Below are 23,782 nucleotides of genomic sequence, written 5' to 3' on the forward strand. Positions count from 1 at the left end.
GGACATTCTAGTGAATTCCACTTTCAGCTGCAGGAATTTTATCAAACTGTAAAGGCAGAGAAAACAGTCCTCAAGACCACTCTCATTTCTGACAATTACAATGATAGGCTATTACCACGGAGACACAACAGTAGGCTATTAACTACTAACAGCCCGCTGTTGACCCGAAGCCTTACTGATAACATAAATAATTAACACTTATTTGGTATGTTATAGGTATTATAAATTGTATTCTTCCAATAAAGTAAGCTAGAGAAAATAAACTATTATTAAGAAAATCATAAAGAGGGGAAAATACATTTACAGTACTGTACTGTATTTATCAATATCATTAAGTTTTCTGTCATCTGTTTACAAGATGAATTGTCTCTCTGAAATGGCACAACCGCACCTGCAGACCTCAGTACGTATCCAACAATTCAACTTTTTTCTTGTAATGTCATGACTTTTCTCTGCTTCTTGGGCACTTCCAGCATCACTAGTGGCACTTCATATGGGTCCACTGTGAGTTATTGTTTCTGTAAAAGCTGAAATGAAAGCAAGAGAGAGGTTCTGAGCCTGAGCCAATGGGTAGTGAGGCCGAGGTGGTTGCCTTGGGGCCATGACCGATGGGAAGGTTAGAGGGAAAGGTAAGGAAGATGTTGGGCTGAATCCTGACATTGCACCAATCCTGGGTTCTGGGAGGTCCAAGCTATAGTCGCTGGCCTCAGGGCCAAAGGAAAAAGTTGTGTGGAAACAACAGATTGTGGGGAAATTCAGACTGCTTTGCAAAAGAATGAGGAAAGTCAGGTGGGAGAGTGAAGGAGCCCATCCCAGCAGGTGAACATCCTTCAACAGTTATTAAGAAATGGAAAGAACATGGCCGGGCTCAGTGGCTCATGCCTGTAATCCCAGCACTTTGGGAGGCTGAGGTGGGAGGACCGCTTGAGGCCAGGAGTTTGAGACCAGCCTGGTTACATAGCAAGACCTCATCTCTAATTAAAATAATAATAATAAGCCTGGGCGCGGAGGCTCACGCCTCTAATCCCAGATCAGGAGTTCGTGACCCGCCCGACCAACATGGTGAAACTCCGTCTCTACTAAAAATACAAAAATTATCCAGGTGTGGCGGTGGGAGCCTGTAATCCCAGCTACTCGGGAGGCTGAGGCACAAGTATCACTTGAATCCAGGAGGCGGAGGTTGCAGTGAGCTGAGATCACGCCATTGCACACCAGCCTGGGTGACAAGAGCAAAACTCCATCAAAAAAAAAAAAGAAAGAAAGAAAGAAAGAAAGAAAGACAGACAGACATGGGCAGAGCAAAGCAGACATTAATGGGGTTAAAACAACACTCTTACGGCAGCACTCTCAGAAACTGGAACTGCTGGGAGCTCCTGTGTGCCCCAAACTAAAGGGCCTAAACCTATGTTCATCCAGTTTGGAGAAATAGAAAACATTAGAAGGCAAAGGTGACCATGAGCAAGTTGGCCTCCAGTCACCTAGAGTGATGCTCCTGCAATCCAATCAAGATAAGGGCTTGATTGATGAGAGGGTCAGGCATCCTTTGGCCTGACCCCTGGCTGGGGACCCAATGCTATACACCCATGAGTGGGTAAAATGCTCAGGGGATGGAGAAGAAATGTTTCTGGGACTCCTCAACACGAGAGCCCCATGCACTGAGATTGCTCCATGGTGAGCAGGTCAGTGCAAACCTACCCGCAAAGGCCCCAGGAGCTGAGAGGCCGAAGAAAGAAGCTGACAAATACAGCTTCTCAGAAAGAAATATAGAATAGGGACTTATGTGGCTCACGCCTGTAATCCCAGCACTTCGGGAGGCCGAGGCAGGTGGATCACCAGGTCAGGAGATCGAGACCATCCTGGCTAACACGTGAAACCCTGTCTCTACTAAAAGTACAAAAAATTAACCAGGTGTGGTGGCAGGCACCTGTAGTCCTGGCTGCTCGGGAGGCTGAGGCAGGAGAATGGCGTGAACCCAGGAGGTGGAGCTTGCAGTGAGCCGAGGTTGCGCCACTGCACTCCAGCCCGGGCGACAGAGCGAGACTCCATCTTAAAAAAAAAAAAATAGGGACTTATGAACAGAAGCCACGTCTCAAGGGGCTGTGAGCCACTTGCCCTCCAGAAAGCATCTTTTTTTTTTTTTTTGAGATGGAATCTCCCTCTGTCACCCAGGCTGGAGTGCAGTGGTGCAATCTCAGCTCACTGCAACCTCTGCCTTCTGGGTTCAAGTGATTCTTTTGCCTCAGCCTCCCAAGTAGCTAGGATTACAGGCATGTGCCACCACACCTGGCTAATTTTTGTATTTTTAGTAGACATGGGGTTTCACCATGTTGGCCGGGCTGGTCTCAAACTCCTGACCTCAAGTGATCCGCCTGCCTCAGCCTCTGAAAGTGCTGGGATTACAGGTGTGAGTCACTCACATCAGGCCAGAAAGTATCCTTTATCTAGCAAGCTTGTGTGATAGAACGTGTGCAGCTGGTCATATCTTCGGACATTCTTGCCAAGACGTGTGTCCACTGAGCAGGTTAGATAGACGTCTTTTTGAAGGGTTCTCTCTGCTGCAGGCAATGTCTACAGACCCTACTGCAGAACACCTTGGTATGTGGGGATCAAACACTGGTCATCATGGTGTTTTTGCTTCGAGATAAATACACAGCAACAGGCTGTTCTCCTACTGTGATTCCAAACCTGTTGGTGAAGTCTCTGTAGAAGCTACAGCTGGGGTGGGAGGGTGCAGGAAGCAAAGGTTGATGGGATGAAGGTGAAAGTTCCGATGAATATCGGAATGTTTGAGCAGATTTTATGTGATGTGGTTGCACCTGCTGCACCTGAATGTGTCATGGGGGTAGATACTGCATCTGGCTGGCAGATGCTTCCCTTAGGTCACATGTAAAACAGAAGACAGGTGTATTAGTCCATTCTTACACTGCTGATGAAGACCTACCTGAGACTGGGCAATTTACAAAAGAAAGAGAGGTTTAATGGACTTACAGTTCCACATGGCTGGGGAAGCCTCACAATCCTGGCAGAAGGCAAGGAGGAGCAAGTCATGTTTTACGTGGTTGGCAGCAGGCAAAGACAGAGCTTGTGCAGGGAAACTCCCATTTTTAAAACCATCAGATCTCGTGAGACTCATTCACTATCATAGAAAGACCTGCTGTCATCATTCAATCACCTCCCACCAGGTTCCTCCCATGTCATGTGGGAATTGTGGGAGTTACAATTCAAGATGAGATTTGGGTGGGGACACAGTCAAACCATATCAACCATATCAACAGGTAAATCTACCTTTCAGCCAATATTGGCTGGGCATGCTAAATGGAGCCAATAACGTTGTCTAAGCCCACAGAGGTCATTAATTTGAAACAGTATTAAACAGCTGGTGGACAAAAAGGGCTTACCACTTGAATGAATGCCCTGTTAGAAGCAGGAGTGCAGGCACACATTCTCTGTATGGTCCAGCCCTGTGTGAGGCAGACCAGGACTCACAGTCAAGCCTGTGAGCACCATCCAGCAGTGAGAAGTGCGATTTTGGACTGGAAATTTCTGTTTGAGAGACAATTTGCGGGTTACTGAGCTTTGATTAAGACTGTTCCTATGACTGAAGGACATAAAATAACCCCAGAACCTGAAATACCCAGAATGTCTTAAGCATTGCCAGAGAAACACTCCCATGGAGAGGTCAGTGCCCAAAAGAATTCCGGAATAAAATGGAAATTTTATTTAATTTATGTATTCGGGTACAGGTACATGCTCCTGGGGGAAGGTAGGAGGAGCTCATCACCCCATGAGCAGAGCCTCTTTTCCCCGAGGACGGACGTTGGAATCCTCTGAGGAGCTGCCAGATGCTGTCACCATGAAAACAGTGCCCAACGGATCAGCAGGAAGCTGCTTGGTTTATGGACAGCAGGTTCAGGCAGAATGGGGAGCATCCTGTTTGGAAGGCTGTCCCTCTGTTTTGTTTTGTTTTTTTTGTTTGTGTTTTGAGACAGGGTCTTGCTCTGTCACCCATGCTGGAGTGCAGTGGTGTGATCACTGCTCATTGCAGCCTCAGACTCCCAGGCTTGAGTGATCCTCCTGCCTCAGCCTCCCTAGTAGCTGGGACTACAGGCACCCGCCACCACACCTGGCTAAGTTTTAAAATTTTTTTTTAGAGATGGGGTCTGGCTATGTTGCCCAGGTTGGTCTCAAACTCCTGAGCTCAAGTGATTCTTCCTCCTCTGCCTCCCAAAGTGCTGAGATTACAGGCATGATTCTCTGATTGAAGAAGGAAAAGTCAAACTAGCTCAGTGGGCTGACTTGCATGTGGTTTTCCTGTTTGGGTTTTTACTGACTCATAAGGGGTGGCCGGTGACATGGCCATGTGATTGCAGATAGCCAGTGGAAAACTAGTCTATTAAAGAAAGGGCCCCTTGAAAATCACCGTGGGAGTTTCAGGGGTGCATTAAAGTAGAACATGACAATATCCATCAGAAGAACCCCTTCCAGGATCAGAAGGTGATCGGAACTGGCAAATGGGAGTCCTGGTGCATTCACTTGGGATGGCCACAAGGGCCCATGGAAGCCGTGGATGTGGAGGCTGCAGCGGCGCAGGGAAGGGCTGCGCCTAAACATGTCCTCCCCCTCAACACACCCTCGGAGCCATGAGATGCAACTATCTGCTGATACAGAGACAGAGACTGCAGATGGCTGCAGGGCAGATTTACCTGGAAGCAGAGGGGGGTAAGGGGGAGGCCCTGCACATAGCTGGCAAGTAGAATTGATTCTGTAGCCCCAGAAGCCTACAAATAGGTCCTGAAAGGAACAGACACTGACTCTGGGCTGGGCTTTGCTTGCCCAGTGGTACATGCAAATACACAGAGTGCTGTAAAAGAGCTGGAACAGAAGCTTTCATGCCAGTGTGCACTGCTGAGTTACATTTCTTCACATCAAGAAACACACTCATCTTCAGAGCAATGGCTTGAGAAAGAATTGAAACAGGCAATTGAAACACTGGTTTTCCAAAAAGAAAGAAGCTATAGGCACCAAGGGCTGGTGTGTGCTCACACTGAACATGAGGGGCCAAGGGAGGGTCCCTGCTGGGGAGATTCCTCTGCTTTTCTGGGGAGCTGGGGAGGAGGGGGTCGGGGAGAACTCATATAATTATACAAGTCTTTCCGTGAGGGAAGGATAATGGTACAGTTCTTCTGTTTGCTGCATGCACATGAGTAATTGTCCCTGGTAATTTCTTTGCTCTGAAGGTTCTATCTGTATTAATAGAGCCATGATTACTTGATTTTGTTCATGTTCTCATGGTCTACCTTTCTCCATCCTTTTATCTTCAGCCTAATCATATAATAATTACAGTTGAAATGAGTTTCTGAAACACAGCGTGTATCGGGATCATGTTTTTGTATCCATTCTGCCAATATCTTTAAATTGGTATATTTGTCCATTTACATTTTATGTAAGTACTGATATAACAGGGCTTAATCCTGCCATTTTATTTTCTGTTTACTGTTTTTTCCCTCTGATTTTTAAAATAAACTTCATTTTTAATAGATTTTATTGTTTAGAGCCATTTTAGGTTCACAGAAAAATTGAGCAGAAGATACAGAGATTTCCCATATACTCCCTCCCCCCAACACATGCCTAGCCTCTCCATTGCCCACATCTATCACCAATGTGACATGTTTGTTACAATTAATGAACCTACATTGATATATCATTATCACCCAAAGCCCATGTCTTACATTAAGGGTCATTCTATGTTGTACATTCTATGGGTTTTGACAAATCTACAATGACATGTATTTACTATGACAGTATCATATACAGCATCCTACCTCATGTATTTACTATGACAGTATCATATAGAGCATCCTACCTAAAACTCCTCTGTGCTCCACCTGTTCATCCATCTTCCGCCTTCCCCATCCCTTGGCAACCACTGATCTCTTTACTGTCTCCATAGCTTTGCCTTTTCCAGAATGTCATATATTTGAATCACATAATATATGATTGATTGGCTTCTTTCACTTAGTAATATGCATTTAAGGTTTATCCATGTCTTTTCATGCCTTCATAGCTCATTTCTTTTTAATGCCAATAGTATTTTTTAAAAATTTTTTATTTCCACAGGTTACTGGGGAACAGGTGGTGTTTGGTCACATGAGTAAGTTCTTTAGTGCTGATTTGTGAGATTATGGTGCACCCATCACCCGAGCAGTATACATTGAACCCAATTTGTAGCCTTTTATCCCTCACCCCCTTCCTACCCTTTCCCTCTGAGTCCCCAAAGTCCTTTGAGTCATTCTTATGCCTTTGCATCGTCATAGCTTAGCTCCAACTTTTGAGTGAGAACACAGAATGTCTGGTTTTCCATTCCTGAGTTACTTCACTTAGAATAATAGTCTCCAATCTCATCCAGGCCACTGCGAATGCCATTAATTCATCCCTTTTTATGGCTGAGTAGTATTCCATCCATATATATATATATATTTCACAGTTTCTTTAACCACTCAATTGATGGGCATTTGGGTTGGTTCCACGTTTTTGCAATTGCGAATTGTGCTGCTATAAACATGCGTGTGCAAATATCTTTTTCGTATAATGACTTCATTTCTTCAATGTGATACCATCTTACTCCTGCAAGAATGGCCATAATAAAAAATCCAAAAATAATAGATGCTGGTGTGGATGTGGTGAAGAGGGAACACTTCTACACCGCTGGTGGGAATGTAAACTAGGTCAACCATTATGGAAAACAGTGTGGAGATTCTTTAAAGAACTAAAAGTAGAACCACCATTTGATCCAGCAATCCCACTACTGGATATCTACCCAGGTTTGTTCTTTTTGCTTAATCTTGCTTAAGGTCAATCTTATTTTCATTGTCTGAATTTATGCATTCACTTACTGAAGGACATCTTGATTGCTTCCAAGTTTTGGCATTTATGAATAAAGCTGTTATAAACGTCTGTTTGCAGGTTTTTGTGTGGACATGAGATTTCAAGTCCTTTGGATAAATACCAAGGTACATGATTGCTGCATCATATGGTAAGAGTATATTTAGTTTCGTAAGAAAGTGCCAAGCTGTCTTCCAAAGTGGCTGTGTCATTGTGTATTCCTACCAGCAGTGAATGAGCCTTCTTGTCGCTCTGCATCCTCACCAGCGTTTGGTGTTGTCAGTGTTCTGGATTTTGACCATTCTAATAAGTGTGTAGTGGCATGTTGTTGTTTTAAGTTTCATTTCCCTGATGACATGTGATGTGGAGCATCTTTTCGTATGCTTATTTACTGTCTGCTTATCTTCTTTGCTGAGGTATCTGTTAAGGTCTTTGACCCATCTTTTAATTGGGTCGTTTGTTTTCTTATTTTCGAGTTTTAGGAGTTCTTTGTATATTTTGGATGAGAGTCCTTTATCAGATACATCATTTGCAAAGACATGTCATTCCTTGTCTGTGGCTTGCATTTCCATTCTCTTGACAATGTCTCTTATAGAGCAGAAATATTTAATTTCAGCAAAGTCTAACTTACCTTTTCTTTCTTTCATGGCTATTGTCTTTGGTGTTGTGTCTAAAAAGTCATCACCAAACCCAAGATCCTCTAGAATTTCTCCTATGTTAGTTTCTAAGGGTCTACAGTTTTGTGTTTTACATTTAAGGATGTTATCCATTTTCAGTTTATTTTTGTGAAAAGTGTAAAGTCTGTCTAGATTCTTTTTTTTTTACACATGGATGTCCAGTTGTTCCGGTATCATTTGTTGAAGGGATTATCTTTTTGTTACTGTATTTCCTTTGCTCCTTTGTCAAAGATCCATTGACTATATTTATGTGCTTCTATTACGGGCCTCTATTCTGTTCCATTCATCTTTTGTCTATTTGTTCACCAGTACCACGCTGCCTTGATTACTGTAGCTTCATAGTGAGTCTTGAAGTCAAGTAAGTTCTCCGGCTTTGTTCTTCTCCTTCAGTATTGTATTAATACTCTGAGTCCTTTGCCTCTCCACATAAACTTTATTTATTTATTTATTTATTTATTTATTTATTTATTTTTGAGACGGAGTCTCACTCTGTCGTCCAGGCTGGAGTGCACTGGTGCAATCTCAGCTCACTGCTACTTCCGCCTCCCGGGTTCAAGCAATTCTCCTGTCTTAGCCTCCTCAGCACCACCACACCTGGCTAATTTTTTTGTATTTTAGTAGAGATGCAGTTTCACCATGTTGGCCAGGCTGGTCTCGAATTCCTAACCTCAAGCGATCTGCCCGCCTTGGCCTCCCAATTGCTGGGATTACAGGCGTGAGCCACCGTGCCTGGCCTCCACAGAAACTTTAGAATTTATTTGTTGATATCCACAAAATTACTTGCTGGGATTTTGATTGGGGTTGTACTGAATCTATACATCAAGTTGAGAAGAAGTGACATCTTAATAATATTGAGGCTTCCTGTCCATGAGCGTGAAGTATCTCTCCATTTCTTTAGTTTTTAAAAAATTATTTCATGAGAGTTTTGTAGTTTTCATCATATAGGTCATATACATATTTTGTTAGCTTTATAACTAAGTATTTAATTTTTGAGGGATGCTGAAGTAAATGGTAATATGTCTTTAATTTCACATTCCACTTGTCCATTGCTGGTATATAGAAGAGCAATTGACTTTTGTATTTTTTTTTTTTTTTTGAGATGGAGTCTTGCTCTGTCACCCAGGCTGGAGTGCAGCGGCACAATCTCAGCTCACTGCAAGCTCCACCTCCTGGGTTCACACCATTCTTCTGCCTCAGCCTCCTGAGTAGCTGGGACTACTACCACACTCGACTAATTTTTTTTTACTTTTAGTAGAGATGGGGTTTCACCGTGTTAGCCAGGATGGTCTTGATCTCCTGACCTCATGATCTGCCCGCCTCGGCCTCCCAAAGTGCTGGGATTACAGGCATGAGCCACCGCGCCCGGCCAACTTTTGTATGTTAATGTTGTATCCTGCAACCTTGCTGTAATCACCTGTATTAGTCAGTTCTTGCACGGCTATAAAGAAATACCTGAGACTGGGTAATTTATAAAGAAGAGGTTTAATTAGCTCATAGTTCTGCAGGCTGTATAGAAAGTATGGTGGCATCTGCTTCTGGGGAGGCCTCAGAGAGCTTTAACTCATGGCAGAAGGCAAAGCGGGAGCAGGCATCTCACATGGCGGGAGCAGGCATCTCACATGGCGGGAGCAGGCATCTCACGTGGCAGGAGCAGGACCGAGAGGGGAGTGTGCCACGCACTTTTAAACAACCAAATCTTGTGAGAACTCACTCACTATACAGAACCAAGGCAGGGGGACGGTGCTAAACCATTCATGAAGAATCTACCCCATGATCCAATCACCTCCCATCAGGCCCCACTGTTGTAATTCCCAACACTGAGAATTACAATTCAACAAGAGGTTTGCTGGGGACACTACATCACCTGTTAGTTCTAGGAGGGTTTTTTTTTGTCCTTTTTTTTTTTTTTTTTTTACATAAATGATCATGTCATCTGCAAATAAAGAATTTTATTTATTCCTTCCCAATCTATATACTTTTTATTTCTTTTTCTTGTGATATCACATTAGCTAAGACTTCCAGTACAATGTAGAAAAGCAGTGCTGACAGGGGACATCCTTGCTCCTGATCTTAGCAGGAAATCTAGTTTCTCACCATTATGTACAATATTAGTTGTAGGTTGTTTTTTGGTTTTTTTTGTAGATATTCTTTATCAAGTTGAGGAAGTTTCTCCTCTATTCTTAGATTACTCAGGATTTTAAATTATGAATGGGTTTTGGATTTTGTCAAATGCTTTTTCTGCACCTATTGTTGTGACATAATTTTTCTTCTTTAGCCTGTTGATGTGATGGATTATATTAATTGACTTTCTAATTTTAAACCAGTATTGCATACTTGGAATAAATTCCACTTTGTCATGGTGTATTTCCTTCTGTTTTGTTTGTTTTATATAGAAATTATTTTAAAAAATAGTTTTAGATTTATGGAAAAGTTGAGAAGATAGTACAAATAGTTCCCAGAGTGATGATCAGGGAGACATAAACTGGACGTGGGTTGAACAAGAGCCACAAATCTGCCAACATAAATTGTTTGTTTATATCTTCTGCACCCAGTTTTCCCTATCATTAACATTTTATGTCGATATGGTACATTTATTACAATTGATGTACAAATATTGATCATTATCTAACGTGGTAGTTTATTCTGATAGTTTAGTTTTTATCTATTTTTTTGTTTATATTTATGTCTCATTTAACACACTTTTTCGGTTCCAGCAGGTCATCCAGGCTATCACATTACATTTAGCTGTCATGACTCCTTAAGCTTTTCTTGGCTGTGACAGGTTCTCAGGCTTTCCTTGTTTTTGATGGCCTTGACAGTTTTGAGGAGTGCTGATGTAATGAGAATGCCACAGCAATGTTTGCTCCCTAGGCATTAGAAGTAGAACATCCAAATGGTTGAAGCCAGTGGCTAGAGAGAAGAACTTAGAAGTCTGGTATGCAACAAGATCTTCAAAACCAAAACCAAACAAACAAAAATGAACTTAGAGGCATCTTCCACACCCAGCAGACTGGGCTCCCTGCTTTCCTGTGGCTTCTTTCAAATGAACCTTTCAGACATTTCCCCATGAACTTCAAGTGGCTGGAGGATGAAGGACTTCCCTCCTAACTGTGCTCTTACTGTCCAAGATCTATTTGTAATAAATCTTTGAACATATTTCATATTGTGGTGGTGTACTGAATTTGCACCTTCCACCAGAAGAACACAAGGTCAGGCTCCCAGCATCAGAGTGATGGTCAGGCAGACACAGAATGAAGATCAGGCAGACATAAGCTAGACATGAGTCAGACAAGGGCCACTAAGCTATCTGCCAGTATAAACAAGTTTCCAGTGCAAGGAACCTCCCTGGTCACGGGTCAGACACTAGGTATTAGGTTGTCTTCCAGGTGATAGAAGTAGCCCATGAAAGGATACCGTAGGCCAGGCACGGTGGCTCACACCTGCAATCCCAACAGTTTGGGAGGCCGAGGTGAGCAGATCACCTGAGGTCGGGAGTTCAAGACCAGCCTGGCCAACATGGAGAAACCCTGTCTCTACTAAAAATACAAAATTAGCCAGATGTGGTGGTGCATGCCTGTAATTCCAGCTACTCAGGAGACTGAGGCAGGAGAATTGCTTTAACCTGGGAGGCAGAGGTTGCACTGAGCCAAGATCACACCACTGCACTCCAGTCTGGGCAACAAGAGCAAAACTCCATCTCAAAAAAAAAAAAAAAAAGGATACCGTAAACACCCATGTCCAGACCCTCTTCATTTTCTGTTAGGGCAGGGTTGCTAGCTGCTGTGGTACTGGAACCCCAGTTTAGCTGGGGGCTCTCAGAGCAACTGCTCAGGTATGTTGTAAAATGTAATTTTATTAGAATTTATCTGACTTTTTTCATTATGAGACTGAAATGATGGGTTTTGGGGAGAAGACTACAGAAGTAAAGTACCATTTTTGTCACATTATATCAAGGGTACATACTATTGACATCGTATCAACATCATTTATCCCTGTTGATGTTGACCTTGAGGTAGTGTGGTGAGTTTTCTCCACTGTAAAGTGACTATTTCCCCTCCCTCCTTTCCATACTGTATTCTTTAGAAGGAAGTCTTCATGTGCAACCCACAGTTTAGGAGTGGGAAGTTATGCTTCCTCTCCTTGAGGGAAGAGTAGCATCATAAAATATTTAGAATTTTTCCACACATGACTTTTGTTTCTTCTACCCCATTAACTTATTTATTCTACAATTAATTTATATCAGCATGGATTCATGGATTTTTTTTTATACTTTGGGCTATGATTAAATATTATTTTATTTGTTTTGTTAACTCTATTCCAATCTTGGCCACCGGGGAGCTCTTTCGGTTGGCTCCTGTGTCTCTCTGACGTGCTGCCACCAGTGTGGGTTTTTGTGTCCAGCACTTCCTAACTTTCTGGCACTACAAGATGCTTTAGGCTCATCTTTTATATTTCTAGCCCCGGTCCTAGAGTCATCCATTTCTCCAAGAAATCTTGGCTCCTTTTATTGGAGAGTGGTCTTAGAAATCAGGATCTGGGCCGGGCATGGTGGCTCACACCTGTAATTCCAACACTTTGGGAGGTCCATGTGGATGGGTCACTTGAGGTTGGCAGTTCAAGACCAGCTTGGCCAACATGGTGAAACCCTGTCTTTACTAAAAACACAAAAATTAGCCAGGTGTAGTGGCCCACATCTGTAATCCCAGCTACTTAGGAGGCTGAGGCACAAGAATCACTTGATCCTGGGAGGTGGAGGTTGTGGTGAGCCGAGATCACGCCACTGCACTCCAGCCTGGGCAACAGAGCAAGACTCCATCTAAAAAAAAAAAAAAGAAATCAAGATCTGGAAGCCGGGTATGCTTGTTGCTATTGAGGTGCTGATTTGTTTAGGCTCTCTCTGCTGACACAATGAGGAAATATATGTGTGTATTCTATCCCATGTATATACATATATTTATAAATATTTCTCTAAGTAATCATGACTTCATTTGATGTTTCCAAATCTATTACCATGTAGATTATTCTAGTTTCCTTCCCTTACTTATCCCACCCAGTAAGAAACCTGGCACCCACCATCTGCCATCCATTAGCCTAACTGTCCAACCTTAGCATACACATATAGTGGCATAAGAATTGTTCACCCTCACGCCTGTGGGAAATGACATTATCAGGTAGAGTACAGTGCTTATGTGCAGTGTCCTTTGCCTTCAGTCTTGCAGCAACACTCATTTCCAAGGTTACTTAGGTGAGCACCTTTTCTTTCCACTCCCTTCAGTGAGGTTGTTTTATACACTTGTAATACAGTTAGATGTTTTTGTCATAGTCTGCATTCTTTCCTGAGAGCCTCCAACCTCCTAAATGACTTTTTAAAATTTTGCATATGTTAACATTTATCTTTTATTCTGTAAAGTAGTATGGATTTTGAGAATTGCATAATGTCAAGTATCCACCATTATAGCATTATACAGAATATAGTACTTAAAGAATAGATTTATTGTCCTAAAAATTCCTTTGCTTCACCTTTTTAACTTTCTTCTTTCCCCTCAAATCCCTGACAACCACTGACATTTTCCATGTTATATCATAATTATTGATATATGCTATATAACCACTGTATAGTATATCACCTTTCAGACTAGCTTCTTTCATTTATCAATATGCATTTAAGGTGTCTCCATGTCTTTCTGTGGCTTGACAGCTAATTTATTTTTATTACTGAATAATATTCCATTGTATGGATGTACCAAAGTTTGCTTATTCATTCACCTGTTGAAGGATATCTTTGTTGCTTCTAATTTTTGGTGATTATGAATGAAGCTGCTATGAAAATTCACATGCAGGTTTTTGTGTGGACATAAAGTTTTCAAATCAGTTGGGAAAATCATTAGGAGTGTGATAGCCTGATCATATGATAAGACTATGTTTAGCTTTGTAAGAAACTGCCAAACTATCTTCCAAAGTGGTGGTACTATGTTGCATTCCCACCATCAATGGGTGAGAGTTCCTATTGCTCTGCATGCTCATCAACATTTGGTATTATCAGGTTGTTGGATTTTAGCCATTCGAATAGGTGTGTTATTATTTTAATTTTTAATTCTCTAATGATGAATTATGCAATTATATATATCAAATATGCATATGGAAATGTACATTTGACAAATATGCACTTCCATATGCATATTTGGTATCTCTGTATCTTTTCTGATTAGTTGTCTGTTCTGGTCTTTTGTTCATTTTTAATTTGGGTTGTTTTCTTACTAAATTTTAATAATTCTTTGTATAGTTTGAATATAAGTCCTTTATCAGATATGTATTTTGCGAAGATTTTTCTCCCATTCCATGAACTGTCTTTATATTTTGTTAACAATGTCTTTTGCTGGCAGAAAATTTTATCTAATATCCAAAGTTAATTTTTCTTTCATGAATTATGCTTTTGGAGTAGTATCCAAAAACATCATCAATCACAGGGTCACACAGAATTCCTCCTTTGTTTTCTTCTAGACATTTTATAGTTTTGCATTTTACACTGACGTCTATGATCCATTTTGGGTTAATTTGGGGAGAAAGTGTTAGGCTCATGTCTAGGTTTACTTTCACATAGACTTCTGTTTGTTTCAGCATTGTTAGTAAAAAATAACTACTCTCCTTTATTTCTTCATTTTTATTTCTTTCTTTCCAATATATATACCTTTCATTTCTTCTTCTTGTATTGTTTCATATGCTAGGAATTCCAGTGCAATGTTGGGTGGATGTGGTGAACAGGGACATCCTTGCCTTGTTTGTGATCTTAGTGGGAAAGTGACCAGCTTCTCACCATTAAGTGTGATGTTTCCTTGTAGCTGTAAGTTTGCTTGTAGATGAGCTTTATCAAGTTGAGAAACAGCATCTCTATTCCTAATTTGCTGAGAATTTTTCGTGAATGGATGTAGGATTCGGTAAATGCTTTTTCTAAATCATTTGATATAATCATATAATTTTTCTTCTTTAGCCTGTTGCTATGGTTATTAGAATAATTTTCAAGTATTGAAACAACCTTGGATATCTGGGTAGCAGTATATAATTTATTTTTTTATATGGTTGGATCTGACTTGATATTTTGTTGAGGAGTTTTGTGTGTATGTTCATAAGAGATACGGGTTTGTAGTTTTCTTTGTCTCCTTTGGTGTTAGAGTAATGCTAGCAGCGTAGAATGAGTAAAAAGTGTTTTCTCTACTTCTCTTTATTGGAAGAGATTATGGAGAATTAATATTAATTTTACCTTCCTTAAAGGTTTAGTAGAACTCACCAGTGAAACTGTCTGAAAGTACTGTGGTTTTTTGGTTGTTGTTGAAATCATTAATTATTCATTCAACTTCTTTATTATATACATGTAGACATGGCAATTCAGATAATCTTTTTCTTTTTTTGTGATTTTTGATTTTTGATATTTCAAGGAATTGGTTCATTTTGTTTAGTTATGAAATTTGCAGACATAGAGTGGTCATGGTATTCCCTTATTATTCTTTTAATGTCCAAAGAATCAGTAGTGATGATTCCTTCTTCATTTCTGATATTAGTAATTTGTGTCTTCTCTTTTTTTCTGGTGCAGTCTGGCTTGAAGTTTGTGCCAATTTTATTGATCTCCTTTAAAAAGCTTTTGGTTTCAGTGATTTTCTCTACTTTTTTCCATTGTATGTTTCATTGATTTCCGATCTAGTTTTTATTATTTTTGTTATTCTGCTTGTTTTAGCCTTAAATTGTTCTCTTTTTGGTTTCCTGAGATGGAATCTTAGGTTGTTGAATTTAGATACTTCTTTCTTTATAATATGTGCATTTTAATGCTATATATTCCTCTAAGCTTTGCATTTCCTGCATCTCACAAATTTTGATAAGTGGTATTTTCATTTAGTTCAAAATATTAATTATCATTTATCTTGATAATAATTCTTTGATCCATGTGCTATTTAAAACTATGCTGTTTAATTTTCAGATATTTGGGGAAAGCTATTTTACTGTTGTTGACTTCTAATTTTATTCCACTGTGGTCTGAAAGATCCTTTGTGTTTTTATTTTTTATGTTTGTTTATGTGTGTTTTATGGCCTAGAATGTGGTCTACTTTGATGAGTGTTCCATGAGAGTTTGAGAATAATGCATATCCTACACATTAGATGGGTTATTCCAGAAATGTCAGTAAGATCAAGGTGATTGTTAGTGCTATTCAGGCCATCTGTGTCTTGACTCATACAGATTGGGAACACTTACATAGAAATGAATTGAAAACGCTCTGCTTAAGGTACATATGCTTCACATGAAGCAATAGAGTGCTATTCAAAGTTCAACTTACATTAGTTAAAATTGTATATTGGGAGCTCTAGGACAACCACTAAAATTTTTAAAAATATAAACATATTGTTTTGATACCCTAGTGATGGCCTAATAGAGGAGCTAAATTGGAATTGTATAAAATGCTTCATTAAAACCAGAGTAGACGGTAAAAAGAGGTGTCTGTGGTGAAAAGAAGAAACAAAAAAAAAAGTGAAATTAATGAATGGAAACAGATACAAATGTGATACATATTAATCCAACTATATGAATGATCATGTTGAACGTGAATGGTCTAAATATACCAATTAGAAGACAGATTGTCAGTGAGGATAAAAAAACAAGATCCAATTATATGTTATCTATAAGTAACTCATTTAAAAAACAAAGATTTAGATAGGTTGAAAGTCAAGTAAGAGAATGATATACTATGCCAACACTAATCAAAAGAATGTGAGAGGAGCTAATTTAATTACAACAGCAGGAGGATACATATTCTTCTTAAGATCTCATGGAACATTCACAAAATTAGAACACACAATGGGCCATAAGCCATACATTAACAAATGTGAAAAACAAAAATACAAAGGATCTTTCAGACCACAATTAAATAAAATTAGAAACAAATAACAATAAGACAGCTGGAAAATCCCCAAGTATCTGGAAATTAAATAGCACATGTTAAAATGGCACATGGGTCAAAGAATTCTCAAGGTAAATAAAAATTAATATTCTGACTAAATGAAAATGAAAATACAACTCATGAAGTTTGTGGGATGCAGCAAAAGCAGTGTCTGGATAGGGCTATAGGTAGATGACATATGCATATGTTATAAAGGAAGAAATATCTAAATTCAGTAATCTGAGTTTCCATCCCAGGAAACCGTAGAAAGATAACAATTTAATCCTAAAGCAAGCAGAATAACAGATATAATAAAAATTAAATCAGAAATCAATAAAATTGAACACAGAAAAACAAGAGAGAAAATTATGGGATCATAACTTTGTTTTTCATAACCTTTTTCAAAAAAGCCAATAAAACTGATAAATGTCTAGCCAGGCTGACCAAGTAAAAAAGAGATAAAACACAAATTACTAATATCGGAAATGAAAAAGAAGTCACCACTACTGATCCCATAAATATTAAAAGAATCATAAAAAAAATACTATGAAAACTATGTCCACAAAATATATGTCCACAAATTATATAACTTTAATGAAATGGATCAATTCTTTGAAAGACACAAACTACCAAAACTCACAAGGAGGAATAATTTTTTTTGTTTTTGAGATGGAGCATCACTCTGTCGCCCAGGCTGGAGTGCAGTGGCCCGATCTCGGCTCACTTCAAGCTCCACCTCCTAGGTTCACGCCATTCTCCTGCCTCAGCCTCCCAAGTAGCTGGGACTACAGGGGCCCACCACGACGCCTGGCTAATTTTTTTTGTATTTTTAGTAGAGACAGGGTTTCACTGTGTTAGCCAGGATGATCTCGATCTCCTGACCTCGTGACCCGCCCGCCTCAGCCTCCCAAAGTGCTGGGATTATCCTGGCCACAGGGAGGAATAATTTTAATAGGCCTATATCTATTATAGATGAAGGCCTATTAAATAAATGAAAAATTAATAAGTTTCCCAAACAGAAACCACCAAGCCCAGATGGCTTCACTGGTTAATTCCACCAAACATTTAAGGGAGGAATTATAGGAATTTTCCACAATCTCTTCCAGAAAATAGGAGCAGAGGGCTCACCTCCTAACTCCTTCTCTGTGGCTACCGTCAACCTAATACCAAAACCAGATAAAGACATTATCAAAAAGGAAAACTACAGACCAATGTCTCTCATGAGCATAGATACAAAAATTCTCAACAAACTATTAGAAAATGGAGTCCAATAATGTTGAACAATATTATACACTACAAGTGCTAGGCTGAATTATGTTTTCCCAAAAAGATACTTAAAGTCCTAAACCCTGGTACCTGTGAAGGTGAACTTATTTGAAAACAGCCATTTTAGATATAATCAAGTTAAGATGAGGTCATTAGGGTGGGCCCTAATCCAAAATGACTGGTGTCCTTATACAAAGAGGAGAAGAGACTCAGAAACAGAGACACACAGGGAAGATGCGAAGATGGAGGCAGAGTCTCAAGTGATGTTTGTACAGGACCAGGAACACCAAGGATGGCCAGCAACACTAGAAGCCAGGAGAGACCTCTGGAACAGGCTCTAGTATAGCATCGTGTGACAAATAGCAGGCCCTGAAAGAAATCAACACATTTTACCCCAAAATATATTTCTTTGATGTATTTTTAAGTGGCCCTGCAAAGCTGTCTCTTGTGGGGGAAATTTACATTCTGTAGAGAATCTCCTTCTCTTACTAAATCTTTTCAGGAGAGTCTAGCACCTTTTAAGGACTGATAAGAAGACATTTACCATCTATTGTCTCTGAAGCCTACTACCTGGATACTTCATCTGCGAAACGAGAACCTTGGCTTCCACAACCCCCCACTTACGTTAACCCAAAGCATTTCTTTCTGTTGACTTCAACTCTTTAGACAAAACTTAACTCTTTCAACCAATTGCCAGGCGGCAAATCTTTGCATCTACCTATGACCTGGAAGCCCTCTCACCCCACCCCAGATGTCCCACCTTTCCAGACCGAAGCAGTGTATACCTCGCATGTATTGATTGATGTCTGCCTGTAACTTCTGCCCTCCTAAAATGTACAAAATCAAGCTGTGACCCAACCGCCTGGGCACATGTTCTCAGGACTTCCAGGGGCTGTGTCACAGACCATGATCTTGAACCTTGGCAAAATAACCTTCCAAATTGATTGAGACTTGTCTCAGATGCTTTTTGGTTTACAATCTGTGGCCCCCTGCAGCTACTGTGTTACCTGTTGATCAAAATTAGTGACAGACACAGGAGTCTCAATTGATCAAGTTTTATTAAGCCAGAGCTTGAGGGTGTGTTGGGGAAAAACACAAGTCACAGACATGTCTGTGTCTGACGTTATCCAAACAGGTTTTCAGGAGGTTTAGAATTTACATATTTCCTTACAGGGAGAAGGCTTGTAGGATGGCGGGTGGCAGAAGAATGGTTGACCTTATCTTGTCTTTGTTCTGTACCCAGGAAGATGAGCATCATCAGCGTGGAACCTGGCAGACTCTAGTTTTAGGAGCTAGACATAGAGTGCAGACTTAAAGCTATAACGGACACATCCTTGTTTTATAAGCAGATAGGCAGCCTTGAAAGCCTGCAAGATTTCCAGATGTCGGGAGTCTTTTGCCTTTCTCAGGCAGTCTGGCTAATGGATAATGCTTTGGCACAAGACTGTAAAGTGATGACTATTTATTTGGGTAAAAGATGGCAGTGTTGTGTGACTGTCTCCATGCTTAATCTTCCCTCTGGCATGTAGGGAAAAGAAAGAAAAATCAGACTGTTACTGTGTCTATGTAGAAAGGAAAGACGTAAGAGACTCCATTTTGAAAAAGACTTGTACTTTAAACGATTGCTTTGCTGAGATGTTGTTAATTTGTAGCTTTGCCCCAGCCACTTTGCCCCAGCCACTTTGACCCAACCTGGAGCTCACAAAAACATGTGTTGTATGAAATCAAGGTTTAAGGGATCTAGGGCTGTGCAGGACGTGCCTTGTTAACAAAATGTTTACGGGCAGTATACTTGGTAAAAGTCATCGCCATTCTCCAGTCTCAATAAACCAGGGGCACAATGCACTGTGGAAAGCCGCAGGGACCTCTGCCCTTGAAAGCAGGGTATTGTCCAAGGTTTCTCCCCGTGTGATAGTCTGAAATATGGCCTCGTGGGATGAGAAAGACCTGACCGTCCCCCAGCCCGACACCCGTAAAGGGTCTGTGCTGAGGTGGATTAGTAAAAGAGGAAAGCCTCTTGCAGTTGAGATAGAGGAAGGCCACTGTCTCCTGCCTGCCCCTGGGAACTGAATGTCTCGATTTAAAACCCGATTGTGCATTTGTTCAATTCCGAGATGAGAGAAAAACCGCCCTGTGGTGAGAGGCGAGACATGTTTGCCGCAATGCTGCCTTGTTATTCTTTACTCCACTGAGATGTTTGGGTGGAGAGAAACATCAATCTGGTTTAGGTACACATCCAGGCATAGTACCTTCCCTTGAACTTAATTATGACGTACGGTGCCCTGAGCAGGGAGGGGAGGTGGCTGCAGGCAGAGCGCTGGGGGGGCCATTCCTGTCCTAGCGGTTGTGGGAAGTGGTCCGTGGGGGGCTCCGAGTTCAAATATAAGGGTGGGGCTCGCCTCCTCCGGGCGCCTCTGGATGGACAGGCCAGAGCTCCAGAGGCCCAGGCGATGGAAGCTCTGCCTGGGTGGGGCTCAAGGCGACTGCTGCCCTTGGAGCCCTTGGAGCGTCCCCAGAGCCAGCCGCCCTCGTGGGCACACAGGCCCTTCCCCGCCCAGATGCGACGCATCCTGCCCCGCGACACCTCCTTCACCACCCTGCGGGACCCAGCCCTCGTCCTGGAGTCCGCTTTCTACAAGACGGCCTCTCCCTTCGTCGGAGCCCGGATCCTGCGCCACTTCCTGCGCCTTCTACGACCCCAGGCGGCCCGACAGGCACCATGGCCACAACCTCATGGCCTTGGACTTAGGCTTCGACCACAACGCGCCGCCGCCTTGTAGGGTGGCAACGCGCCTCTTGGCCCCGGGGGTGCAAGCGGTGGCCGCGCGCTTCGACCTGCTGCTGATCGCCCAGCACCTGGACGAGTCCCTGGGGCTCCTGCGCCGCACTGCGCTGGGGCCTGGATGACCTGGTGGCCGTCCCCGCCCACTGGCGCGCGGCCTTCGGCCCGGAGCCGCTGGAGCCGCGCGTGGAGTGCAGGGCGAGCGCCTAGAACGCGCTGGACTTGGCGCTCTGTGCGCACTTGAACCGCACGCTGTGGGCGTGGCTGGGCGCGCTGGGGGCCGCTGGGCTGCCGCTGGAGGTGGCTGCGCTGCGGGAGCGGTGGGCGCGCACCTGCCTCCTGCATGGCGAGGCCTGGGGGCGGGGCGCGGAGCTTGACCCGCAGCTGGCGCCGCTGCAGCGCGGCCTGGCGCCCATCCTGGGCTACCGGCTGCCACCAGACCTGGACCAGGCCACCCGCCGCCACTGCCAGGACCTGGCCACCCCAGAGCTGCAGTTCGCCAGGCGCGTTCCCGGAGTGGGTGTGGGATCCGGGACGCCCTTGGGGAGCAGAGCTCCAGGCCAGGCAGCGTCGCGCGGCAGGCCCAGGCCCAAGGGAAAATGTGGGCCGTGTTCAGAGGCGGGCAGGGGTCCGTAGGGCCCTGGAGCAGAAGGGCGCGCCCTCAGCCCCTGTTACATGGGACCCCACAGGGCGGGCGACAGTGGCCAGGAGCCCCAGCCGAAACTGCTCCGTCCCGGCTCCCTTTTCTGCGCATCCTTCTGCAGGGCCTCGAAACCTGTTTTTGGCAACTTGCTTTTCTTTTCATCTACTTGAAAGCCACGTAGGTCACCCATGGCAGATGCACGATTCCAAGTCATTTTGGCAGGTGTTTTTGTTTTTTGTTTTGTTTTGTTTTTGAGATGGAGTTTCGCTCTTGTTGCCCAGGCTGGAGTGCAGTGGCACGATCTTGGCTCACTGCAACCTCCGCCTTCTGGTTTCAAGCGATTCTCCTGCCTCAGCCTCCTGAGTAGCTGGGACTACAGGCACCCGCCACCACGCCCAGCTAATTTTTTGTAATTTTTTTTTTTTTTAGTAGAGACGGAGTTTCACCATGTTGGCCAGGATGGTCCCGATCTCTGGACCTCGTGATCCTCCCATCTCGCCCTCCCAAAGTGCTGAGATTACAGGCCTGAGCCACCGCGCCCGGCATTTTGGCAGTTTTAATGTGGAGAAGGCTCTTTCTGCAGAGGGAACGTTGCAGAGCTGCTGGGAGTGTCTCATAGGCTGTGGCGACCTGGGAAGCTGCTCTGCGGAGCCTCCGGAGGCGCAGATTTCAGCACATCGAGAGCAGATGAGCGGCTAGTCCCAAAACTGTCCGCGCTTCAGACAGATGACTTTCGCAGAAGTTTGAGTGTGCTTGTAGATGCAAATCTATCGTGATTATGTTTCCTCGGACGTTTCCTGTGCTTGTGGAGCTCATAGGAGAGACTGAAGGTGAATTCACGATTGCACACAACTTACAACATCTGTTTGTGAATTCCATCAGTGTATCTTCAACTGTAAGAAAAATTAATTTCAAAACTTCTGCATTAATGCCTGGATACTCCAACATCTTATAGGAAAATTGTGCTCGTTTCTGTCCAATGCTGTGGCCCTTGCTTCAGGGTTTGTGGATTTTGTTGAGAATTTCGAGATTGTCAGAAAGAGATTCTAAGCTGGAGTAATTCTAACAGCTTCCTGGTTATGTTACTGGGATAAGGCTGTGTCTGCTCCTCCCATGCTCAGTTACTGATACAGTTACTGCCTGAGCACCGGGACCTCCACTCCTGGAAGGATCTGTGCAGAGGCTGCAGGCACTGATGGGGAAATAGACACACCTCCGGCACCCAGGGGCCTCGTGCTGCCACCGGAGGAGGATCCCCTCTCCTTCCTGGGGCTCCAACCCCTGCTGCTGCTTCTGCTGCCATGTGACACCCAGGCATGGCCAGGCCCCCACGCAGAACGTCTGTGAGGGCAGCTGGTTGGCCCCACCCCATCGGCTCCCCTGTGTGCTCAGCAGCCCTTTGCCTGGCAGGATCTGGCAGCCCCATCGGGGCCTCTGGATGCCACACAGGACTGGCTCTCAGGCCTGTCCCATGGGATTCCTGTCTCCAGTCCACAGCAGGGAAGAGGAGCCAGGGGCTCCAGAAAGAGCCAGCTCTCTGCCTGGGTAGGAGGGGGCTTTATGGAGGGGTGAAAGGTGTGTGTGTGGAGGGGCAGCCTCAGAGAGGAGGATGTGTGTGTGAAGGGGCTTTCTCGCAGGGAGGAGGGTGTGTGTGTGAAGGGGCAGCTTCAAAGAGGAGAGTGTGTGTGTGAAGGGGCAGCCTCAGAGAGGAGAGTGTGTGTGTGAAGGCGCTTTCTGGTGGGGAGGAGGGTGTGTGTGTGAAGGGGCAGCTTCGGGGAGGAGGGTGTGTGTGTGAAGGGGCTTTCTGGCGGGGAGGAGGGTGTGTGTGTGAAGGGGCAGCTTCGGGGAGGAGGGTGTGTGTGTGAAGGGGCAACCTCCGGGAGGGGAGAGGATTCTTCTTTCTCTCCCTCCACCAAACGCTCGTCCAGGAAAACGTGGCCTCACCGGCATCCCCAGGGAGAAGCCCACGCACCATGAGACGGGAATCATACAGGGTGGTCAGAGGGGAGTGGAAGTTCCAGGCAGCCCCTTCTCATCTCTAGCAAAAGGAAACCCTGCAGCAGCGAGTGGCTGACAGGACCCAAAACACCGGGGTGTGGCCGTGCTGGCTGAGACCGCCTGGACCCCACAGGGCTCTGGCTGTGCCCCGGTGTCTCCCGCGACCTCACGGTGCGCTCATTAGCACACTCGTCACACCCCCACCAGCGCGTGATGGCTCCAGAACACCCAGATTTGGTGTAAGAAGTGGGCGGCGCCGCAGCTCTGAGACATCTCCACGTTTTCCAGGAATCCTGTGGATTCCTCCAGCCCCAGCGCCCCTGCCCGGGACGGGACTCTAGAGGGCGCCACACTCCCTTTCTCCAGTGGGAGCTTTGGGCTTCGCAGGAAATCTCTGGTCTTTCACTATTTGCCAACTCGCCCCTGAATTCCTTCTCACGATGGTGTCAAGAGCCTGGACGCTGGCCGGGGTGGAGGTCTCACTGGGGTTGGGGTGTCCCGTAGCCCCCCGCATCGAGGACATCTCCCTGCTTTCTCCTCTCGTCCTTCCCCCATAGCAGAGCGGCTGAGCCCAGGGCTGCTGCCCACCAGAGGACGGGGTACAGCCTGT

General features: G+C 43.8%; 1 long non-coding RNA gene and 1 pseudogene across 1 annotated transcript, besides 1 other annotated feature; one reads left to right on the forward strand and one right to left on the reverse strand.

Moving 5' to 3' along the window:
- Positions 4,260 to 4,309: a silencer, noted in NCBI's record as "silent region_12522". NCBI's record gives its function as "represses an Ori minimal core promoter by ATAC-STARR-seq in GM12878 lymphoblastoid cells {active_cell/tissue: GM12878}" and the evidence as "EXISTENCE:reporter gene assay evidence [ECO:0000049][PMID:35858748]".
- LOC124908016 (uncharacterized) lies at positions 18,789 to 20,693 on the reverse strand. The gene is made up of 2 exons (XR_007088291.1): positions 20,606 to 20,693; positions 18,789 to 19,267 (listed from the first exon to the last, which is right to left on the reverse strand). It is a non-coding gene; the product is annotated as an uncharacterized LOC124908016 (long non-coding RNA).
- LOC100420500 (galactose-3-O-sulfotransferase 1 pseudogene) lies at positions 20,332 to 21,026 on the forward strand (annotated as a pseudogene).

The sequence above is a fragment of the Homo sapiens genome, chromosome 2, assembly GCF_000001405.40.
Source record: "Homo sapiens chromosome 2, GRCh38.p14 Primary Assembly".
NCBI lineage: Eukaryota > Metazoa > Chordata > Mammalia > Primates > Hominidae > Homo > Homo sapiens.